We start from the raw sequence: 23,828 nt of genomic DNA on the forward strand, positions 1-23,828 counted from the left end.
TGCCTCGCTTCACAAAGGAATGTGAGGAAGGACACCCAATTTGGCATTGCTGTGTTTCTCTGTATTTGGGTCATGCATTTTTTCTTGCTTTCCACATTGAAAATGTGGTGGATGCAGTAGATTGGCTTTAAGTGTCAGGCCTTCCCTCATTTACTATACCTTTTTGTGTTTCACAAGCTGGAAAGCTACCAACTACATGCTCTAGACATCCTTGCTGCTAATATTCTGCATGTCAGATTGGTCTCACCAATGGCACGCAGCAAAGCAAGATTTGCAGGTGCTGTTTTCTTGCTGCTGGCAAATGCAGCCGTGGAGACCACCGTTTTTTGCAGCACTGTTCCAGTGTCCTGTTAATTGTTCTGTCGGTGTTGAGAGGAGGTTGGGGACCAGGCATGGCAACTTCCTGACGCCATCTTCCTGATTGTGGGCAGCAGCCACAATCAGCAATCTTATCTAGGTAGTCATCCATGGATGTTCAGCTCAGCCCTTCTCCAGCCTTTCCAATGATTTCGAATGTCCCCAATTCCCCCTAACGAATCCCTTTCTGACTAGGAGTAACTAGCTGAGTGCTGCAATGAAATCCTGACTGACAGATTTGTAAACTCTTTGCGGGCAGGAACCCTTGATATAAATAAATGACCTTGCATTTTAATGGAGGGAAGCAGAAGGATAAACAAATGAATAAGTGAAAAGTTTTAATAAGATGGTGATGCGTAAAAAATAAAGCTGGTTAATGGGGAGTGCAGGAAATGAGCGCAGCTGTCTTGCCGTTTTAATCAGATAGGTCAGAGAAGGCTTCTCTACTAGGGTGGCTTTTGACCTGCCTCTCTGTTAGGTCAATTGTGTGCGAGGCCCTGATGGAGTTACTGTGTTAAAATGCAATGATTCAATTACTCCATTACTTAGATACCCTTTAAGTGACACTACGGTTGTCCATCTCCCCGCTATTGAATTGTTTACCCACAGTAAGCATGGCGGGAAGAGCTTCGATCCGACCCTTGAACGCTCAATAAAAATGGCGACAGCACTTCCTGTACTTGCCCTCAACAAAGATGGTGTCAACACTTCCTGTTTAGGGTTTTCGCCATTAACAAAGATGGTGCTTATGGGGCAGGTTCCCTAACAGTCAGGATTCCGGTTGCAGTTTTTCTCCCCCGCCCCAAAGATACGTGGTTGCAGACGTAAGTAACAGGAATCCATCTTTCTTTGAAAGTCCTGCATTGTAGCGTCTGCGACCTGGGCCCTGCGGGGGCTTCCCCGCCCCGCTAACTTGCTCCGCATTTCCGATCCGGGCCAAGGCTGGGTGGCTGCGGCAGTGCCGGAGGCCCGCTCTCCCCTTGGTCCGCTCTTTAGTTCATTCCCAGCACTCCCTCTTTAGCGGGTCAAGTTGCCGCAGAAACCGCCCGTAGTCTTCCTGTTTGATACAAGGGTTTCAGCGGCCGAAGCAGAGCCTTTTTAAATAGTTCCCAATGGGCGCTCACGGCCAAACGTGAACACCTCCCCTCCTCACCTGTCACCTCCTGAACTTTACAGGGTTGCGAGGGGGAGTGTGGGATCGGGTGTCGCCTAGCCGTGGTCGTACTGCCCGGGTGTGTCTGAAGCCCCATCTGTCATCCCTGCCTGCCTTCCCGGTCACTTAACCTTCACTGCCTTACACACAACCAAGCCACAGCACACTGGTGCAGGGGTGGTGGAACTGCACCTTCAAATCGTGCCTGGCTACTGACCAGTGCTGGGGTGTGTGCTTTTTTTGAAAGAAAAAAATCCCATAAAATGTCCCATGCATGTGCGGCCACGACAGTGTTGTGCTGGAGATTCGGAATTCTTAGTGGGAAGGAATGGAGTCTGTGACTGTATATTGTGTAAAGTTTATTGTAGACTGGGCACAAACAACAATTTTCTTAAAGGTGATCGTGTAGAGGACTTTTAGCGAAAAGAGCCTTAAATTCTGAACCTGCTGATTTCTGTCCTGCACTCCTATTACTGATCAGGTTTTGCAAATACTTGTGATCAAAAAAAGGGGACCTGCGTCCACCTTGGCAGTTTCTGCCTTGGTGGTGGTGGTGCAGGTCTGATGAGGGCAATGTGAAAATAAAACCACCATTTCTTCTCCAGCGTGTTAAAATTAGTGCTGCTCTGTAATCTTCAGATAAAAATTGCTTGTTCAGAAGGGTCTCTGACCCACTTTTTTTTTTTCTTTTTCCAAATTTCTTTATTGAACGAGGAATTGAGCTGGGACCCCATTGTGTGAAAAGCAGAAACAGAAAAGATGATTCATCTTCATTGTTGTTCATTATGTTAGGAAACATTCAAAATTAACCTGGCTTGGCTTAATCAGTGAATTAAATACCATGACCTGGCAGTCTGCTATGGTTTAAAGATGTGCTTGACCTGAAGGAACTTACATTGCAGTGACACTGTCTTTAGGGCCACATCAACATGTCTGTAATTTGAGCTGTGATTTTGGCTCTTTCCAGGGAGAAATGGAGGCCAGAGACAAACAAGTACTCCGCTCACTTCGCCTGGAGCTGGGTGCAGAGGTATTGGTGGAGGGACTGGTTCTTCAGTACCTCTACCAGGAAGGAATCTTGACGGAAAACCATATTCAAGAAATCAATGCTCAAACCACAGGCCTCCGGAAAACAATGCTCCTGCTGGATATCCTACCTTCCAGGGGCCCTAAAGCATTTGATACATTCCTAGATTCCCTACAGGAGTTTCCCTGGGTCAGGGAGAAGCTGAAGAAGGCAAGGGAAGAGGCCATGACCGACCTGCCTGCAGGTAGGCCTCAGAAAGATCACTTTGAACCAGCTCCAAAATGTTGTAACTATGCTCTTTGCTTTTTTGTTTATTTGTTTGTTTGTTTTTGAGACAGAGTCTTGCTCTGTTGCCCAGGCTGGAGTGCAATGGTGTGATCTCGGCTCACTGCAACCTCTGCTTCCTGGGTTCAAGCAATTCACTTGCTTCAGCCTCCCGAGTTGCTGGGAATACAGGCATTTGCCACCATGCCCTGCTAAGTTTTGTATTTTTAGTAGAGATGGGGTTTCATCATGTTGGCCAGGCTGGTCTCGAACTCCGTACCTCAGGTGATCCACCCACCTCCGCCTCCCAAAGTGCTGGGATTACAGACGTGAGCCACCACACCTAGCCAGAACTATGCCCTTTGGATTTGAAGTTGGGATGTAAGGCAGGACAAGGGTCAATGGTTGATGAAAGTGGGTAAGGATTTGGGACTGAAGGGACATGACGTTGGAGGAATAGGATCAGGAGGTGGCATTAGGAAGTGCAGGGAAGGAAGAATGAACCGTGACTGGGAGGTGAGGGAGGGAGCTCAGAGAATGCATTTAGAAATGCTTCCAGGAAACCTGGCATGTCACTTGGGAAGCATGTTCTCATCAGAGAGCCAGGTCATATCTCAGCCGTTGGCATCAGGAGCCATTTGGAAAGTGCAGATGGGAAAGCAGGCATTCGGCCTACTGACAACTGATTTGTGAGGTGCCAGAGCTACCAGCTGGAAAAGGTCAGATTCATGGAGGAGGAGACAGCCTCTAGGAAGGCATGCCCTGCACCTGTCCCCTGGGCTGTCCTGTGTGGCCAAAGGGGATTATTTTGAAGGCTGACTTAGTTTGTTTTTAAAGGTTATTCGTTTAAAGTGTCCTTTTTAGTTTAGCTTTGTTCAGACACTGGAGTATTTAATTTTGCAAAGAGCAATAGTTTGGGGAGGGTCTCAGTTTAATTTGAAGGAGAATTGGAAGCTGGAGAAGAGAGAAACAGTTCTGGTTCTGTTAGCCTGGCTTGTAGCAGGAAGAAGATGTGATATGGAAACACTTGCTTTTTCTTAACCTCCCTTGACTCTGTTTCACAAAGATAGAGGGGCAGAGAACTGAACTGGCAAAAATTAAAAATTGAAAAAAAAAAGTAATTGAAAGTTGGCTTGCAAATTTTTAACAAAGTTAGAGAATCAAGGTTCTCTGGGGTTTCTGATAAGAGTGATAGAACTATTCCGGTTCAGTGGGCCCCAGACTTCGTGGTTGCTATTTTTTAAATACTGGTTAAAAAAAATGAATACTGATAATAAGACCACTTTTACTATTTTTGCTCCATGGACCTCATATTTTGACATATGTCTGAATACCTGATCAGCATGACATAGCCAGCTAACTTTAGGAAGACCTGGTAAGATCCCAGTGGAAAAAGCAAAAGTATTTTCATTCCTAGTCTGGGCTCGTTACAGTTAAATGTATCTTTAGGCTTTTTGAAATATTAGACATAGCTGGCTTTTGAGGACCACTGGAATTCACTGCTTGGATTGTCCTTACAAAATTAAATACTCCACATGTCTGAACAAAATGTATCTAGATGTTTTTATGACTTTATTGAAAGCAGAATAGATAACATAGAGTTGGAGAAATGTTAAAAAATTATTGGTGTTTTCCTGATATTTGACTTAGAGGTTTCTGCTGGCATCATATAGTTGGAAACAACAAAACAGGTGAACTGAAAGCCTTTCACTATCAAAATACTGAATTTAATTTTATGGTCATTTTGGGTGATACAGATCATGCTGTTGTATGTCATTCGTAGAGGTATAATACCATTTTTTTTTTTTTGAGACGGAGTTTCACTCTTGTTGCCCAGGCTGGAGTGCAATGGCGCGATCTCGGCTCTCTGCAACCTCTGCCTCCCGGGTTTAAGCAATTCTTCTGCCTCAGCCTCCCGAGTAGCTGGGATTACAGGCATGTGCCACCATGCTCGGCTAATTTTGTATTTTTAGTAGAGATGGGGTTTCTCCATGTTGGTCAGGCTGGTCTTAAACTCCCGACCTCAGGTGATCCGCCCACCTCGGCCTCCCAAAGTGCTGGGATTACAGGCGTGAGCCACCATGCTCGGCCATAACCCCATTATTTCTTCAGATTCATTCAGAGAGTTAGAAAGAATTAAGGCATTTTTTACAAAATGATGAGAGTTACAGAGAAGCTGAGGAAAAATAGCTTTTTAAAAAAGCAAACAGAATGAAGCAGTACATAATGGGAAAAAAATTGAGCATATCTGTGTAGAAGTTTAGAAAAATAAGGTTTTTCTCAAGATTTGTTAATTCTGTAGAAGGTTGGCTCTGGAACAAATTCGTACAGTCATCTTAATTGTTTTACTTTTTACTGAGTAACACTGCTATTGAAAAAAACATTCTGAAGTGAGGGTTTGATTTATATATGTCTTTGAATACCTTCCACGGTGACAATCACATAAACTCTTTTAAAAAAGACTTGTATTTATTAAATATTGACTATTTTAAATAATATTACAAAATATAAGTAAGATATGGAGAATAATGGTACAGCGAACACCCGTCTCCTCATCACTCAGTTTAAGAAAAATAATATTACGATTGCCTTTAAAAACCCCGGGCACTCCTTCCCAATCTTGTCTCATTCCCAACCCCCACGCAGTGAAAAGCCCTGAATTGGGGGTTTATCATTCATTCACTTCTTCACTTTATAGTTTCCTATCTCCTAAAAATCACTTTTAAAATCTTCATATGTTTTTGAAAATCCTGTATACCGTAAGTTCTAGAGGTGTGTGTGTGTGTATATGTATATATGTATATAGAGAGAGATATATATGTTTTTTGTGTGTGTGGGAAGGAAAGGGTGGAAGTAATGGAAGAAATTATGCATTTAAACTTGATAGTTAACACCTTCTCTTGTTTCAGAACTTAAAATATTTTTTACATGTTTAAAGTAATTTAATTGGTGGCAATATTTTAATTCTAAAATTAAATTGGGATTTACTGAATTGGAAACCTAGGTTTTGTTATTTTGTAAATCCTGGGAAGAGTATCAGAGTTGAAATCCCTTCAATTTAACGTCCCTATAAAAAAGAAATCCAGAACCTACTGCCTAAGACCTCGGTGCTTCTCCAGTGTTGTAATTGAGTAATTTTAGTAAGATTTAAAATAGTCCACTTAAATTTTTGTAAAGATATCTTTGAGTTTTGAGGATCTAGACTATAGGAGAATGTGTGTACACATTAACCTCTTAATGTATGTACACATTAAACTCTTCCTACCTTTTCCTCATTTTGATCATACTTATTAATTAATTTGTATGGATTCAGTAGTCTCTTGGGAGGCCTTGAGAACAAATGGGAAGGAATGGCCTTCTTTTTTAGCCAAGACGTTGATCCTTCTCTAAGAATGAACTGATTTTATCTTATTAAGGTTTTCTTGTGTTGGTCTTCCCAGAGATGCTTGGTTTCCCCTTTATTGGTTTGTTGTTTTAATTTTCGTTGTTTCACTTGTAAATTTTGAGCTGTCTCAGAGGCTTTATTTTGGTGATTGTTCCTGGTTAGTTGCTTTTTACTTATGTGCTGGATGTAATTTGTTTAGAGAATTGAGCTGTATCTTGTTCTTCTCTACTCTTCTGAACGCCACCCCCATCAAATCTCAAAACATACAAAAACACCCTAAACCTTTTGATTCTCTCAGAATCTGCCTCTGTGACTAGTCTCCCAATCTCTGTTAGGAAAAAAAAAAAGGTTTAAGTTGTTAAAGTTGTTAATGGATCATTGGTTTTGTGTTTTTCTCACCCTGTAAGGACTCTTACCTTTTAAAAGAGGAATTCTGGTGATAAAATGACTTAATCCACCTTGGCACCGTGGAGAGAACACTTCATGGTTTGTCTCTCTGGCCAAGGTCACATACTAGACATTAGATCAGCTGGAAATCCTCTCTGGGCTCCTGTCAGGTCATTTAGGAGATAGGGACAGTGCCGTGTCTGGGTGAAGGCAGCCTGTGCCTGCCTGCCTGGCTTCTCACTGCTCATGGGGCCTGTCGGCACTGACAGGCTCCCTCCAGTGCCTGAGCTAATCTGGATCTGGAAAGGAGGTTGATGGCAGCCCAGCCTCCCCATCTGGTGGGACTCAGCGTAAATCACGGTGGGAGTGACTCCTGGGCCACAGGACCCCCTCCCTGTTCCACTGTGTTGGCCCTGGCTGTGGGTCTGGGTGTCTGCCATGATTCTCTGCCTTTTGCCCCAGTCTTCCTTTAAGCTTGGGAGTGTTTTTGTTTTTCTCTCCTCCGTTGGTTTGATTCATGCTTTATGTATTCTTAGCCATGGCGAGAGTGAAGAACAGAGCTCTGGGAACACAGCTCGGTGCCTCCGGCATCAGCATTGGATGTCTCAACTCTTGAGCCTGTTGGAATGGCTGTCCCTAAGCTGACACTTGCTTCAACCTTCTCTGGGCTTGATCTTGTCCTCCCCATAGACTCTGTGCCCTGGACTCCCTGGCTGCTCTTACAACAGCAGTGCGCAGGACTGGCTAGTCCATTTCCCCTCTACCTGTGGGCTCAAGGGCTCTGCCTGCCCCTTGTGGCGCCAGCCTTGAGTGACAACACAGAACCACACCTGCCGCCCTCCTGAGATACATTCTAGCTCTGAGTTGCATACTTGGATGCATCTAAAGTCACTGAGCTCTTAATGGCAGATATTTTAGATATTGTGATGGGTTTATTAGAGAGGTTTCTAGCTTGGGATTCTTTTCATAGGTTCCTCCAATCATACCACGTAATTGACCTTGCTCTGCATGTAAGTTCAGTGTTGGTCTCAGTGTATCTAGCTTGCAGTCTATCCATGTGCTTCCACTGTGACTGAGTAGTGTTTGCCTAGTGGCGTCCTGTGTGCTAGAGTGAGAACAGTGGGTCAGTATCCATAGCAAGACCCTTCCCTCGGTAAAGGGAGAGTCTGCAGAGGGCCCAGGTTTCTGTGTATACCCAGCCCGATTTTCATATACTTCCTAAGGACCTACTGAATGCCAGGTACTGGGTATATAAAGACAAATGGAGGATCTCCAGATCAGTTGAGGGCATTCATGCGTTCATCCAGCAAATATTTGCTGAGTCTTGACCATGTGCTAAACCAGAGGTCCCCAGCCTTTTTGGCGTCAGAGACTGGTTTTGTGGAAGACAATTTTTCAACCAACGGGAGAGTTGGGGGGAATGATGGTTTCGGGATGAAACTGTTCCACCTTAGATTATTACCAGGCATTAGATTCTCATAAGGAGTGCGCGACCTCGATCTCTGGCATGTGCAGTTCACAATAGGTTCATGCTCCTATGAGAGTCTAATGCCACTGCTGATCCAATAGGAGGAGGAGCTCAGGTGGTAATCCTCGCTTGCCTGCCACTTACCTCCTGCTCTGCGATCCGGTTCCTAATAGGCCACGGACCGGTATGGGAGTTGGGGACCCCTGTGCAAGACAGTAGGTGCTGGAGATATAACAGTAAACAAAACAAAGCCCTTATTTTCATGGAGTTCAATGTATTCTAGTAGAGGGAGGGGATAAGGGCAGGGACAGATAATAAGCAAATGAATAAATAACATTTGGTGGTGAAGAGCGCTATGAAGAGAAGCGGTATGTGTGGTGGTGGGGGTGGTCAGGGAAAGCCTCTCTGATGAGGGGACACTGAGCAGAGAACTGAGTTTGGCTGCAGAGTTGATACAGGGAGGAGAGCTTTCAGATAGAGGGGACCACAAATACACAGGAAGTCAAGTGGGAGCCACAGGTGACAATGTGGCTAATAAGACACCTTCCTCCCTGGGATGAATCACATTCCACATCAGCAGAGGCTCAGTGGCTACCTTTTGTTTTGCTCTCAACATGTGAGATGTGTGTGCAGCCGTGATCTTGTGTGGCTCGTAGCATGACTTTAGTTGATACGTGGATGTGGGATTAAGTAATATTGAATTACATGATGAGAAAGTTATTTCCTTTCTATTTCTGTTTCAGTTCGGTAAGAATGATAGGAGGTCCTCATGCTTAAAGCCTTCTGTGGGCAACAGTATTTAGCTAGAATCTAGTTGTATTGCTTTTTTTGTGTCAACTTAATGGGTTCCTTCCATTTATGGCAAGCAAAACTTTTCTATTTACGAAGTTCCTTTTAAAAATACATGACTTTTAGAGACTAGAATTGTGGTTATTAGGGACTGGGAAGGGTATGAGGGAGGCAGGGATGGGGAGGTTGGTTAATGGATACAAAATTACAGCTAGATGGGTGGAATAAGTTCTAATGTCCTAGCACTGTAGGGTGAATATGGTTAACAGGAATTTATTATGTGTTTTCAAAATGCTAGAAGAGAGGATTTTGAATATTCCCAGCACAAAGAAAGAATAAATGTTTGACATGATGGATATACTGATTGCCCTTATTTGATCATTACACATTGTATGCATGTATTGAAATGTTACCCTGTATCCCATAAATATATACAATTTTTATGTATCAACCAAAAATAAAAAGAAAAATGTTCATAGGAATATTGAATAGGAAATAAGATTGAAAGTATACCAAATTATTTAGGAAAAAACCATTACTTACATTTAAGTAGAAATGTGTCAACATAAAGGAGACTATAAAAAAATAGGCCAGGCACAGTGGCTCACTCCTGTGATCCCAGCATTTTGGGAGGCCGAGGCGGGCAGATCACCTGAGGTCAGGAGTTTGAGACCAGCCTGGCCAACATGGTGAAACCCCCATCTCTACTTAAAATACAAAAATTAGCCAGGCGTGGTGGCAGGCGCCTGGAATCCCAGCTACTTGGGAGGCTGAGGCAGGAGAATCGCTTGAACCTGGCAGGTGGAGGTTGTAGTGAGCTGAGATCGCGCCATTGCACTCCAGCCTGGGGGACAAGAGCGAAACTTCGTCTAAAAAACAAAACCAACGGAAATAATGGTTGGGTGTAGTGGCTCATGCCTGTAATCCCTACACTTTGGGAGGCTGAGGCGGGTGAATCACTTGAGGTCAGGAGTTTGAGACCAGCCTGGCCAACATGGTGAAACCCCATTTTTACTAAAAATACAAAAAATTAACCGGGTGTGGTGGCAGGCACCTGTAATCCTAGCTAGTCAGGAGGCTGAGGCAGGAGAATTGCTTGAACTCAGGAGGTGGAGGTTGCAGTGAGCCGAGATTGTGCCACTGCACTCCAGCCTGGGCAACAGAGTGAGACTCCATCCCCCCCAAAAAAAAAAAAAAAAAAAAAGAAAAGAAAATAATAATGGTGTGAGGATGTGGCCAAAAGTTGCTTTTCATCATATATTTTTTTAATTTAAAAAGAAAGACAGGCATTTGGGGGAGGAGCCATCACCTGGCTGGCATAGTTAAAGCAGGAAGGCTCCAGTTCTAGTATAGATAGTAGATAGAGCTGTTTTCATGATGCTTCACAGTTTTGCTCTTTCAATTTATGCCCAGTGATAGGAATTAGTTAAATTAACTAGAATTTCAAAATTCGTAAGTTCTCTAAATTTTAAACACATTTACTTGCTAGTGAAACAAAGTCAGCAAGATGGAGCCATATCCTGGTATTATGAATTTTAGAACTGGGTGGGACTCACAGGTCATCTAATTTTTCTCTGAGAAAACAGAGGCCTAGGGAGATTAAGTCAACTTGCCCATGATCACACAGCTAGTTAATGTAATTTATTACTGGGACTAGAATCCAGGCTTTGCAACTCTTGATTTAGGACTTTTTCTGCTGCGCAATCTTGGCTTCCCACTGAGTTTGAAATGGAATTGTATTATGCTGCAGTGTTAATAATTGAAAGAGGCTTTTTAAAAATTGTACTAATGCATTTTTTTTTTTTTCATTTTAAGAGGAGAATTTCCAAGGGCCTTTAGAGGTATGCTGGAATGAGATTTCACTAAAATATTTTATTTTTATGAATGCTAATTTTAATCATTTAAAAGGAAATGATGATCGTTCAGTACTGCATTTTGTCACAAGATTTTTTTCTTCCTACCTCTGCAAGGCTGACATAAAGGAAAAGCGGAAGACTTTCATCGAGTATTTATGGGACTGATGAAATAATGCATCTGTTGGCAGCTAATTGCAGGTCTTTCTAGGAATAGCAAACATGTGACAGGTCTTGCCCCAGCGGAGATGCCTCCATTTCACTTTAAAACATGGATTTGGTATTCTTTTCACTTAGAAATTCTGGCTATGCCTTTTTTTCTCCCTTCTGTGGATGTATAGACCGTTCGGCTGCATCAGACACTGTATTGAACATCAGGGTTGATTTAACTCATTGTTGCTCAGCTGTGGCTATGCTTTGGAATCACCTGGGGAGCTTTTACAAAACTACTGATGCCCAGGCTCTACTCCAGGTGAATCCATTACACAATCTCTGGAGGGTGGGTTCTGGGCAATGGGATGTTAAAGGCACACACGGGCATGCCCATGTGTAAGTCAGGCACACGTACAAATGCTTCGTGAGGTCATCTTAAATTGCAGCCGGGGTTGAGAACCTTGAGCTCTGACCAGCTGGTTAGGAGCGTGCCTCCTTCCTCACTCACTGCTTCCAAGTCGTGGCTTCCCAAAGCTGTGTACTTGCTTGAAGCATTGTTCTTATTTTCAGGTAGCACCAGATGGAAGGGTGGTAGGAATCAGGGTGTAGAGGGATATTAGTTTGCAAATCCTTTTATTCCTTGAATTTCCTGAGCATTGTTGCTCAAGAATGTTCCAGAATCTCAGACCCCATACAGGGGGTGATGCTGCTACCAACATTAAAATCCATTAGGGCTCTATGGGGATATATAGGCTACACACATGAGGCAACAATTGGAGGAGTTTGAATTGCTAGTGAATTTGAATTTGGGAATTATTTTTATTGCTATTCACATTGTTTGGTACAGTCATTACAAACTACATGCAGTACCTTGTGCTCTGTAGATCAGGTTATGTCCAAATGGAGACAGAGTCTCCTGCTGAAGAACGAGTTGGATGCTCCTCTCAGTTAAAAAGTGAGCTGAAGATGGCTCGAGGATGGAAGAGAGAAGGAGAGACAAATGGCTAGTTGGGAAGAGTGGGACTGGCTTAGTCTGTCAGACTGGCTGTCTGTCTGCTCATGGTCTTTATTCATAATTAAAAATGAATTTCAGGCCAGGTGCATTGGCTCACGCCTGTTAATTCCAACAGTTTGGGAGACCAAGGTGGGAGGATCACATGAGGTCAGGAGTTCAAGACCAGCCTGGGCAACATGGCAAAACCCCGTTTCTACTAAAAATACAAAAAGTAGCTGGGCATGGTGGCACACACCTGTCATCCCAGCTTCTTGGGTGGCTGAGGCACAAGAATCACTTGAACCCAGGAGGCAGAGGTTGCAATGAGTCGAGAGCACACTCCATCCTGGGTGACAGAGTGAGACCCTGTCTCAAAAAAAAAAAAAAAAGCAAAAGCAGTCTTTTGTGTCTCACAAAGAACTTCAGATAACATCAGTAAAATAATCATAATAGCTAGTGGGGACTTACTGTCTGCCAGCTATATTCTAAGTCCTTTGTGTTTATTAATTCATTTAATCCTGACAATAACTTGATGAGGGAGGTGGTATTATTACCCTTTTGAACAGATGCGAAAATGTAAGCACAGAGATAGATGTTAAATAACTTACTTAAAGTCACACAACATAAAGTCAAATTTCACTTCAAGGCCTACTGATTCATATCTTATAAAACCACTTTCTCGGCATTCAGTTTTCTCCTCTTCCTAATTCTGATAACCTGTGGCTGCTCCAGAGCCCATCACCCTAATTCTTCTTCAGAAACTCCCCTACTTCCAGTTTCTTCCAGACACACAGCCTCAGGAGGCTTTCTCTTTCTTGCCTCTTGTCCTAAGGCTGATTCCTGGTTGGTATCTCTCTCGTATCTCTCATTTTATACTTTTTTGGTTGGGGGAAGGCTAGGGTCTAATGGAAGACCATACGGTGGGGAGGGGTCATGGAACAGAGCCCCTGAATCTCTCCCATTTCAACTTGCTACTTTGAGAGTAAAAAAAAGACTAAATCTCCTTGGCTGTGATCAGGAGATAGTGTGTTGGCTCCCCTGATACTGGAATCCAGTCCCACTTTTGCAGCTCTTAAATCTTGCTATCTAAAGCCCTCAGTTCCAATAACCAGCTTTTCTGGTGGTGCAGCTTCAGAGTTTCACCAAATGCTTAGCAAGGTAGTGTTCTCTTTTTATGGGTGTAGTTCAAACTTGTAGGCTGCTGTTATAGCTAGCTGTGGGAATGTTTGCTTTACATAATGTTAATAGGCAGCTGTGTTTATGCTTGTTCCTCAGTTTAAGCAGTAAGGAGTGTATACATATGATTCTTTGAGGGCATTTCCCCCAGACTAAAAAAAAGAAAAAAAGGTATGTTGTGTTTTTTCCAACAGTAAATTTTAATTGAAAAGGAATGTAGTTTCTAGAAGAAGTTTGGGGCAGGTTTTACTCCTAGGCTTTATTTTGTTAATGTTATGAAAGAAACTTTAACTCCTTCTAAGAAGTGCCAAGTTGACAATTCCTGGAAATGTTCATGTTCTATTTATGCTCAGCACCATAGCAGACAGGGTGGCAATACCATTACCAAAATAATACCGCCGAGATGTACTAAGTGACAAATGAGAGGCTTCTGGTTTTATAACCTAAATACAAGACTTTAAAAGCATCTCCCAATTCTACCATTTGTTGATAAGGTCTGTGGGTGCTGAGTAGTAATGGTGAAGTTGCTGTGGAGAATTATAGATCAAGTAGAGCGTATCTGCAGTGACTTGTCCTGTTGCTAGAACTATAGAAGGTTAGAGTTGGAAGGGATCTTAGAAACACTTTATAGATGAGGAAACGAAGGGATATCCAAGTCTAACAGCATGCATATGGGTTCTTCTGTTCAAATAGTAGAACTTCATGTAACATAAAAATAGGAATTTCTCTGAAATATATTGGGTAGTTCACAACTTTGAAGGAATGATAAAGGTTTCAGGGCTTAATAAGGGCAGGAATGAGGCAACAGTGGGGGATCTCAGGCCATCAGATGGTCATCTTCAATCAAGTTTCTACACTGTACCTTCCTTCCAGATTCAGACTATTGGCCAAACTTGGGTCCTGAGCCCTTCCTCTAGGACACCAGAATCACCTGAAGTGGGGAAAGGAAGTTCCAAAAGAAAGAGTGAAAGCTGATTGAAGCAAGAGTTGTCTACTGTGCCATCCTTCTTCTTTTTGGATTGAATAGGTCTCACGCCCATGGGCCTGGAAAACAAATGATAGCCCTTTAAGGGAGGAGGTTGCTTTACCTCTTCTTCATACAGCAAGGCCCAGGTTGAGGGCCAAAGGTGGTAGATAAAACGCTGGAGAGCAGTTTTGGAGCAGCATAGGTCTCCTTAAACTTTTCCAAAATCAGAATGTATTGGGGGAGAAAAATGGATTGAGAATGTAGATGTAAAGAGGAGGTTTAGAAAGAGAATTTGAATTGGGTACTGGCCTAAGGGCTTTAGATATATAAACTCACTTTATTATCATAATAGCCCTTTGAGGTAGGCACTACTGTTATCATTTGCATTTCACAGATGAGGAGACTAAGGTGTTAGATAAATTGCTCAAGGTCACACAGTTTGGCAGTAGCAGAGCTGAGGTTCAAACACTGACAGTCTGGCTCACAGTCTGTGCTTCTAATCACTAGGGTCCTGTCTCTATCGGTCTACTACCAGTTCTTAGATCTGATTGGAGTCACATGGCTTAGATGACCTGACCTGGGCTAGCTGCAGCTTCTTTATTTTCTGACCCTTGCTTGCCTCAGGTCTCACACATAGCCGGCATTTTCATTATGTGTATGTCAGTCTCTTTTTTAACAGTTACCAAATTTTAAAAAATACAAAAGAAAATGAAAGATGTTTTCTAAGAAATATGATTAGGTAAAATAAAGGTTTTGAATGTGATTGATGTGGACATTTTTGTTCATTTAGTTTTTAAACATATCTCTTCCCTTTCAATCTCTTTATTATTAATTAGTTATGTGCTACGGGCAAATGTGACTTTTCAGGCCTTTCATATTTGTTTGAGCCCTTTTATTCCATCATGTGCCAGTCACAATTCATTCAGGAGACAGAAACCACACAGTAATTTAAATAGGGAAAACTTAATATAAAGAATTTTCTTTTGTTTTCTTTTTTTTTTTTTTTGAGACAGAGTTTTACTCTCGTCGCCCAGGCTGGGGTGCAATGGCGCGATCCTGGCTCACTGCAACCTCCGCCTCCCGGGTTCAAGCAATTCTCCTGCCTCAGCCTTCCGAGTAGCTGGGATTACAGGTGCCCGCCACCATGCCTGGCTAATTTTTGTATTGTTAGTAGAGACAGGGTTTCACCATGTTGGCCAGGCTGGTCTCGAACTCCTGACCTCAGGTGATCTGCCCGCCTTGGCCTCCCAAAGTGCTGGGATTACAGGCATGAGCCACCGTGCCTGGCCAATATAAAGAATTTTTAACTGGTGAAAAGCAAACCATGGTTAACCACTAAATGGGGTAAAAGAGGTCTCTAAGTAATACAGGAATGGCAGAAGCTACTTTTTCTGAGGTTGAAAGGTAGTGCAGGATACAGTCACTAAGAATGTGGAAGAGGGCCCTCCCCACCTCTAAGGCTGAGATTCAGACTTCGGTGGAGTTGAAGTGACTGTCACACTAGCTGGTCTGTAAGAGCAGCCTACCTGGTAGCTAACTTCAAGAAAATCCAGAGAAATAATTGCATGAAGTCAGAAAAGTAATAAATGACCAAAATGAGAAATTTTGAAATTATTTAAAAAAATCAAATAGAAATTCTGGAGCTGAATTAGGAAAAATAACTAATGCATGTGGGCTTAATACCTAGGTGATGGGTTGATAGGTGCAGCAAACCATCATGGCACACATTTACCTATGTAACAAACCTGTATATCCTGCACATGTAGTCCAGGACTTAAAGTAAAAATTAAAATTAAATTCTGGAGCCGAAATAAAAATTAATGGACTGAAAAATGCAATAGAGAGTATCAACAGCAGAATTAATCAAGCAGAAGAAAGAATCTGTAAACTTGAAGACATTATTTAAAATTACAGTTGGAGGAGAAAAAGAATGAAAAGGAATGAAGAAAGCTCATGGGATTTATGAGACAGCATCAAAAGAACAAACATTTGAATAATAGGAGTTAAGGCAGAGGAAGAGAGATAAAGTGGTAGAAAGCTGTTTTAAAGAAATATTAGCAGAAAACTTTCCAAATCTGGGGAAAGATATAATATCCAGGTACAGGAAGGTCAAAGTCTCTAATTAGATTCAATCCAAACAAGACTACACTAAGCCTTATTATAATTAAACTGTCAAAAAACAAAGACAAAGAGAAGACCCTGACAGCAGCAAGAGAAAAGAAGCAAATAACATATAAGACAATTTCAATAAGCCTAGTAGTACATTTCTCAGCAGAAACTTTATAGGCCAGGAGAGAGTAGGATGATATGTTCAAAATGTTGATGGAAAAAAAAAATTGCTAACAATGAATAGTGTAGCCGGCAAAACCGTTCTTTAGAAGTGAAGGAGAGAATGATACTTTCCCAGATAAAGCTGAGAAAGTTTATCACCACCACACCTGTTTTTACAAGAAAGGCTAGTGGAGTCTTCAAGTGGAAAGAAATGGAAGGTTAATAATAACATGGAAACGTACGAAAGTATAAAACTTACATAGTCAAATTTGGAATCTCCAATACTGTAATGGTTGTATGTAAATCATTTACATCTTTAGTTTGAAGGTTAAAAGATGAAACTATTAAAATGGATATAACAACTTATAAAGTATATACAAAACAAAAAGACATAAATTGTGCCATCAAAAACTAAAATATGGGGGTGATGGTGGAGTAAAGTGTAGAATTTTTGTATGTGATCAAAATTGAGTTGTTATCAGCTTAAAATAACTGGCTGTTTATAAAATGTTTTTGTAAGCTTCATGGTAACCATAAAACAAAAACCTATGGTATATACACAAAAAATAAAAGGTAAGGGACCAAAGGATATCACTAGAGAAAATTACCTAATCACACTGGAAGACAGCCAGAGGAAGGAAAGAACAAAGCATCTACAAAGCAACCAGGAAACAGTTAACGAAATGGCAGAAGCAAGACCTTATCATTAATTACCTTGAATGTAAATGGATTAAATTCTCCAGTTAAAAGACAGGGTGTCTGAATGGGTTTTATAAAAAGCACAAGACCCAACTATATGCCATCCACAAAAGATTCACTTCCTTTTTAAGAACACATATAGAGTGAAAATTAACGGGTAGAAAAATATTTTCCATGCAAATGGAAACCAAAAGAGAGTAGGAGTGGCTATACTTATGTCAGACCAAGTAGATTTTAAGTCAAAAATTGTCAAAAGAGACAAAGAGGGTCATTATGTAATAATAAGGGGGTCAATTCATTAAGAAGGTATAATAGCCATAAATATATATGCACCAATCACTGGAGCACCTAAATATATAAATCAAATATTAATAGATCTGAAGGGGGAGACAGACTAGAATATAGTAATAGTAGAGAACTTTAATACCCCACTTTCAGTAATGGACAGGTTACCCAGATAAAAAAAGTAATAAAGAAACAGTGGATTTAGACTACACTTTAGACCAAATGGACCTAACAGACATTTACAGAACATTCCATCCAATGGTATCAAGAATACATATTTTGATTAGCTTAGTAATGTATAAGGATATTGAGTCAGTAATACAAATTCTCCCATTAATGAAAAGCCCAGAACCTGATGGCTTCATTGCTGAATTCTGCCAAACATTCAAAGAACAAATACCAATCTTTCTCAAACTCTTCTACAAAATTGAAGAAGAGGAAATACTTCCAAGCTTATTTTGTAAGGCCAGAATTTACTTTGATATCAAAGCTAGATAAGGATACAAGAATAGAAAATTACAGACCAATATTCTATTCTTGATCAACATAGGTGCAAAAATTGTCAACAAAATACTAGCAAACTGAATTTAACAGCACAGTAAAAGAATCATTCACTGTGATCAAAGGATGCAAGGATGGTTTAACATACACAAATCAATAAATATGACATACCACATTAACAGAATGAAGGACAAAAACTATATGATCATCTCAATAGTTGCAGAAAAAGCTTTCGACAAATGTCAACATCCCTTCATTATAAAATCTCTCAACAAATTAGGTATAGAAGGAATATACTTCAACACAAAAAAGGTTATATGGGACAGACTCGTAGCTAACTTCATACTCAACAGTGGAAAACTGAAAGCTTTTTCTTTTAAGATCAGGAACAAGAGAAGGATGCCCACTCTCACCACTCTTACTCAACATAATACTGGAGGTTCTAGCCAGAATAATTAGGCAAGATAAAGAAATAAAAGGTATCTAGATTAGAAAGAAAGAAGTTAAATTATCCCTGTTTGCAGGTGACATGATCTTAAATATAGGAAACCCTAAAGACTCTACCAAAAAACTATTAGAACTAATAAATTTAGTAAAGTTGCAGTATACAAAATTAACATAAAAATCAGTAGTGTTTCTGTACACAAACAGCAAACTATTTGAAAAAGAGATCAAGGAAACAATCCCATTTTCAATAGCTACCAAAAGAAAAATACTTAGGAATACTTAACCAAGGATGTGAAAAACCTGTATAATGAAAACTGTTAAAACATTGATGAAAGAAACTGAAGAAGACACAAATAAATGGGAGGAAACCTCATGTTCATGGATTGAAAGAATTAATACTGTTAAAATGTCCATACTACCCAAAGTGATTTATAGATTCAGTGCAATCACTATCAAAATTCTAGTGACATATTTTATAGAAATAGAAAAAACAATTCTGAAATTTATATGGAACCACAAAAGACCCTGAATTGCCAAAGCAGTCTTGAGCAAAGAAGAACAGAACTGGAGGCATCATACTACCTTCTCTGACTTCAAAATGTGCTACAAAGCTATACTAGTCAGAACAGCATGGTGTTGGCATAAAAACAGACACATAGACCAATGGAACAGAATAGATAGTCCAGAAATGAATTCACACATTTATGGTCAGTTGATTTTCAACAAAGGTGCCAATAAGACACACTGGAGAAAGGACAGTCTTTTCAATAAATGGTGTTGGAACAACTGGATATGCAGAAGAATTTAGACCCTCATCTCACACCATGTATAAAAATAAACTCAAAATGGATTAAAGACTTAAACATAAGACCAAAATTATGAAACTACTAGAAGAAAACCTAGGGGAAATGCTCTATGACATTGGTCTGGGCAATGGATTTTTTGGATATGACCCCAAAAGCACAAGCAACAAATACAATAGACAAATGGGATAAACAAAAGCTTCTGCACAGGAAACAACAGAGTAAAGAAGTAACCTATGGAATGGGAGAAATTATTTGCAAACCATATATATGATAAGGAATTAATGTCCAAAATACACCAGGAACTGTAAAAACTCAATAGCAAGAAAACAACCCAATTAAAAAATGGGCGGCCAGCGCAGTGGTTCATGCGTGTAATCCCAGCACTTTGGGAGGCCGAGGTGGGTGGCTTGTCTGAGGTCAAGAGTTCAAGAGCAGCCTGGCCAACATGGTGAAACCCTGTCTCTACTAATAATACAAAAATTAGTGGTGGCACTCGCCTGTATTCCCAGCTACTTGGGAGGCTGAGGCAGGAGAATCACTTGAAACCAGGAGGCGGAAGTTGCAGTGAGCCAAGATTGAGATTGTGCCACTGCACTCCAGCCTTGGTAACAAGAGCAAAACTCCGTCTCAAAATAAATAAATAAATGGGCAAAGGATGGGAACAGACATTTCTCAAAAGACATACAAATGGCCAACAGGTATATGAAAAAATGATCAACATCGCAAATCACCAGGGAAATGGAAATTAAAATTATAATGAGATATAACCTCATACCTATTAGAATTCTAGGTGCTTATTAAAAATATGAAAGGTAACAAGTACTGGCATGGATGTGGAGAAAGTGGAACCTTTGCATACTTGGTGAGAATGTGAATCAGTATAGTCATTATGGAAAACAGTATGGAGGTTCCTCAAAAAATTTAAAATAGAACTCTGTGTCTTAGCAATCCCACTACTGGGTATATATCCAGAAGAAGTGGAGTCAGTATATCAAAGAGATAGCTACACTTTCATGTTCACTGCAGCATTATTTACAATAGCCAAGATACAGAATCAACCTGAGTGTCCATCAACAGATGAATGGATAAAGAAAATATAGCATATATACATAATGAAATACTATTCAGTTTTTAAAAAGAAATACCGTCATTTGTGACAACATGGATGAACCTAGGTGATATTATGCAAAGTGAAGTGAAACAAGGCACAAAAGGACAGATACCATATAATCTCACTTATATGTAGAATCTAAAAAAGTTGAACTCATGGAAGCAGAGAGTAGAATGGTAGATACCAGAGGCTGGAGGAGATGTGATTGGGGAGATGTTGGTCACAGAATGCAAAGGTTAGTTAGACAGGAGAAATAAGTTCAAGAGATCTATTGTGCAACATGATGACTATAGATAATTAACAACCTACAGTTGGCCCTTTGTATCTATGGATTCAACCAACCACAAATAGAAAATATTTGAAAAAAAAAACCACAATAAAAAATAACAATTCAGCAATAAAAAAGAATACAAGTGAAAATATAGTAGGACAACCATTTACATAGCACTTACCTTGTATTAGGTATTATAAGTAATCTAGAGATTATTTAAAATATATGGGAGGATGTATGCAGGTTATATGGAAATATTATTATCATTTTATATCAGGGACTTGAGCATCCATGGATTTTGGTATCTTGGGTGGTAGTGGGGGCCTGTAGTCCCCCTGCAGATACTGACAAATGACTGTAGACTGTATTGCATTCTTGAAAATCACCTGAGTAAATCTGACATGTTTTCTTCACAAAAAGTGATAAGTGTATGAGATAATGCATATTTTAATCATCTCTATTTAGCCATCCTGCAATGACCATCCTGCTATGGTCCCAATGTCTCCCAGAATTCAACTTAATCCCCATTGTGGTGGTATTAAGGGGTGGTAATAGGGGGTGGTATTAAGGGGTGAAGTAATTAAGTCATAGGGGCTTTACCCTCATGAATAGATTAGTGCCTGACTAAAGGGCTGGAGGGAACTCGCTTAGGCTCTTGTTGCCCTTTGGCATTCTGCTGCGGGAGGACACAGTGTTAACCTCTTCTGCCACGTGAAGATGCAGCAAGACTGCCCTCACCAGACACCAAATGCTTGATCTTGCACCTTTATCTTGGACTTCCAGCCTCCAGAACTGTGAGAAGTAAATTTCTATTGTTTATAAATTACCCAATCTGTGATATTTTGTTATAGCAGCAAAAATGGACTGCCAGTTTTCGTATTTCAAAACATCATGTTATACACGATAAACGTGTACAATTTTTATTTGTCAGTTAAAATAATAAGTTAAATAAGTTAATTTAAAAAAGAGATAGCCAGTGTTTATAATAAATGAATCATCTTAACATTTGAGTTTTTGCTGTAGGGGAGGAAAAATCTCTTTTCCTCATTCATTCTAGGTTCATGACTGAGGCCCTTATACCAAAGGACAGATAAACAAGAGCAAGCATAGAAATTTATTTAATATAAATTTTACATGACACAGGAACTTTTATAAGGGAGTGAAGACCCAAAGAGATGGTTAAACTTGTGTATTTTTATGCTAGGTTTGATGGCATGTGGATGGTTGTGGGGAAATGGGATTGGAAAAAGAATATGAGCTCTAATGATAATGAACTAGGGTAAACTTTGCTAGGGCTAGGTGTTCCTGTTCTCTCTGTGATCTGCATCTTCCGAAATAAGGATGCTCCTTTCCTCTGGGGATAGGGAAGGCATTGCACATGAGAGTCACCTTACCTGTTTCAGGGGAAGGTCAGAAAATCCTTTCTAGGGTTTACAACCTGCTTTAAGGGAGAATCGGGAGAATTGTGGGAGCTGAGGGGAGGTCAGAGTGACCTGCCTGCTTATGCTGTCTTCTCAGATTCCAAGTGCCATATCTTGGGCCAGTGTGTCTTGAATCCCATCATTACTGTTGGAAATTCCGTTTCAGAAGCCCACTCTTTGCTAAACTCCAGTTACTTCTAGAACTGGACACTGCTGCTGAAATCTGGAATTTCTTATGTGATGCCAAAAAAAGGAGAAAATTTAGAAGATTACGAGTATGTGTGTGTTTAACAAAGTATATATACTTTTTTCTTCAGAGAGTAAAACCTCTGAATCAACTTGAAGTAGTCTTTTCAAATTGTTATCAAGGCATGCTGCTATTTCAACTATTAGAGAGATAGCACCGGACTTAAAAGACCTTCTCTAAATGACTCTTCAGGAACTAGGAAGAGCATTTTTCACTCTGCTGTTTAAAGTATTTTGTTTGTCTTTCTATGAGTATACTGTTTCAAAGTGTTTCACTAGATTATAACCTGATTTTTTTCAGTGTCTTCTGTTTGTATGCTTTTAAGTTTCTAAATCTTTTCTCTTCATTGTTTTTCCCCAAATTGTTGGACTCTGAGTAAGCTTCTGCCAGTGTCATTTTAAAATATATTTATATCCTTCAGATGCTAAAAATAGTTTGTGCACTTTTAAATGGTTGAAAAAGAAAAGAAGATTACATGATGTTTGAAAATCACATGAAATGCAAATTTCAGTGTCTATAAATAAAGTTTTATTGGAACACAGCCATGCTTATTTGTTAACACGTTGTCTCTGGCTGCTTTCACAATACACCAGCAGGGCAGAGTCAGGTAGCTGCAACAGAGACCTTATGGTCCACAAAACCTAAAATGTTTACTATCTGGCCCTTTACAGAAAAAGCCTACCACCCCTGGTATAGAGTGAGAAAGGCCAGAAACCAGAAAAAAAACCTGTGGCTTTTCCCAAAAAAGCTTTGGTTTTTTTCTTATGACCGGAATCAGCTTTATTTGCCTTTCTTTACTTGGTGCCTAACTGAGTGCTGGATTAAAGCAAATGCTTAGTTCTAAAATTGTTTTGAGAGTCAAAACTGGGGAGGCCTTTCTTCAGGGTAAACTTTTCCTATGAATATATATCATTATCTTTGCCATTTTTTGAGTTAGATTTTGCCAGAAGAGATTTGTCATACCAGGGCCATTGAAGCTTTTCTTTCATTTCTAAAATTGTACATAAGAGAAAAAGAATTAGATAAACCAAACAGATAAAACCCTTTTGTGCTCTGCACATTCACACGAGGATTTAGTTTCAGCTTATCCTGTGTATTTACTCATGGTTTAGTCTCAAGATTTTTAAGTATTGGCATGATGAGATAATGTTAGCATTTGAATACTAACCACAGAAAGCATTAAGCAAGGTCTGCAGTCATGAAGCATTTGCCTTTTGTTCCCATCCATTAGGTATTTAATGTATTTTTTACATCCCCCCACCTTGTCTTTGTTTTCACCTCCTTTGAAGGAAATCTTTTGTCATTGAGACTCAAACGTTCTGATGAGTAATGCTACGCCAGGGTATGAATTTCTTCCCATTCCCTGAGATAGCCATTGTACTATTAATATTTCTGTCTGTTGTTTAGAAGTGTAGCCTGTATTAGGTTCTCAATCCCCTAAGGAATATAACATTTTAAGTGCTCGTAGAGTGCTGTGGGCTCTAAAAGGTATCAAAAGCATTCCATCAGAAATAGAAGCTAGAGAGCCCTTGTCCTTCAAGGAGTTTGAAGTCTGTATGGTAAGAGAGGGGTAACATGCATACGAATTCTGAACATGTACTAGCAGCCTACAAAGTGAATGGAATTTCAGCAGAGCATGCAGCATGAAGGAGCGATCTCAGCGGGGAAGGGAATAAAGTAGGGAGTGCTTCGAAGGTGAATCTGGGTTTTATGGAAGGTAGAGTCATTGGTTCCAGGGGAAGAAGCCAGTCCAGATGGAGGAGACGCCAAGTACTTCCCTGACATCTCAGGATGCC

General features: G+C 40.4%; 1 protein-coding gene across 10 annotated transcripts in view, besides 6 other annotated features; it reads left to right on the forward strand.

Annotated features, from left to right (window-relative positions):
- Positions 325–1,140: an enhancer, noted in NCBI's record as "OCT4-NANOG-H3K27ac-H3K4me1 hESC enhancer chr12:94070392-94071207 (GRCh37/hg19 assembly coordinates)". NCBI's record gives its function as "activates a minimal SCP1, AML or CMV promoter by ChIP-STARR-seq in naive H9 embryonic stem cells {active_cell/tissue: H9 hESC(naive)}" and the evidence as "EXISTENCE:reporter gene assay evidence [ECO:0000049][PMID:30033119]".
- Positions 325–1,168: a biological region, named in NCBI's record as "OCT4-NANOG-H3K27ac-H3K4me1 hESC enhancer GRCh37_chr12:94070392-94071207".
- Positions 929–1,168: an enhancer, noted in NCBI's record as "active region_6772". NCBI's record gives its function as "activates an Ori minimal core promoter by ATAC-STARR-seq in GM12878 lymphoblastoid cells {active_cell/tissue: GM12878}" and the evidence as "EXISTENCE:reporter gene assay evidence [ECO:0000049][PMID:35858748]".
- The window catches only part of CRADD (CARD and death domain containing adaptor protein), a 217,466-nt gene continuing 194,721 nt past the window's right edge, over positions 1,084–23,828 (forward strand). For 8 of the 10 annotated variants that reach the window (NR_135147.2, NM_001320100.2, XM_047429805.1 and 5 more), the window contains exons 1-2: positions 1,084–1,181; positions 2,478–2,781. Coding sequence is in view for 9 of the 10 variants with exons in the window: in NM_001320100.2 (NP_001307029.1) it covers positions 2,484–2,781 (298 nt within the window). In the remaining variant the exon portion in view is untranslated. Of the gene's footprint in view, positions 1,182–1,279; positions 1,738–2,477; positions 2,782–23,828 lie in introns of those variants that run through there. The other 2 variants (NM_001320099.2, NM_001330126.1) reach the window with 2 other exon arrangements.
- Positions 1,141–1,955: an enhancer, noted in NCBI's record as "OCT4-NANOG-H3K27ac-H3K4me1 hESC enhancer chr12:94071208-94072022 (GRCh37/hg19 assembly coordinates)". NCBI's record gives its function as "activates a minimal SCP1, AML or CMV promoter by ChIP-STARR-seq in naive H9 embryonic stem cells {active_cell/tissue: H9 hESC(naive)}" and the evidence as "EXISTENCE:reporter gene assay evidence [ECO:0000049][PMID:30033119]".
- Positions 2,772–3,586: an enhancer, noted in NCBI's record as "H3K27ac-H3K4me1 hESC enhancer chr12:94072839-94073653 (GRCh37/hg19 assembly coordinates)". NCBI's record gives its function as "activates a minimal SCP1, AML or CMV promoter by ChIP-STARR-seq in naive H9 embryonic stem cells {active_cell/tissue: H9 hESC(naive)}" and the evidence as "EXISTENCE:reporter gene assay evidence [ECO:0000049][PMID:30033119]".
- Positions 22,916–23,788: an enhancer, noted in NCBI's record as "OCT4-NANOG hESC enhancer chr12:94092983-94093855 (GRCh37/hg19 assembly coordinates)". NCBI's record gives its function as "activates a minimal SCP1, AML or CMV promoter by ChIP-STARR-seq in naive H9 embryonic stem cells {active_cell/tissue: H9 hESC(naive)}" and the evidence as "EXISTENCE:reporter gene assay evidence [ECO:0000049][PMID:30033119]".

Source organism: Homo sapiens, chromosome 12, assembly GCF_000001405.40.
Source record: "Homo sapiens chromosome 12, GRCh38.p14 Primary Assembly".
NCBI classification, from domain to species: Eukaryota; Metazoa; Chordata; class Mammalia; order Primates; family Hominidae; genus Homo; species Homo sapiens.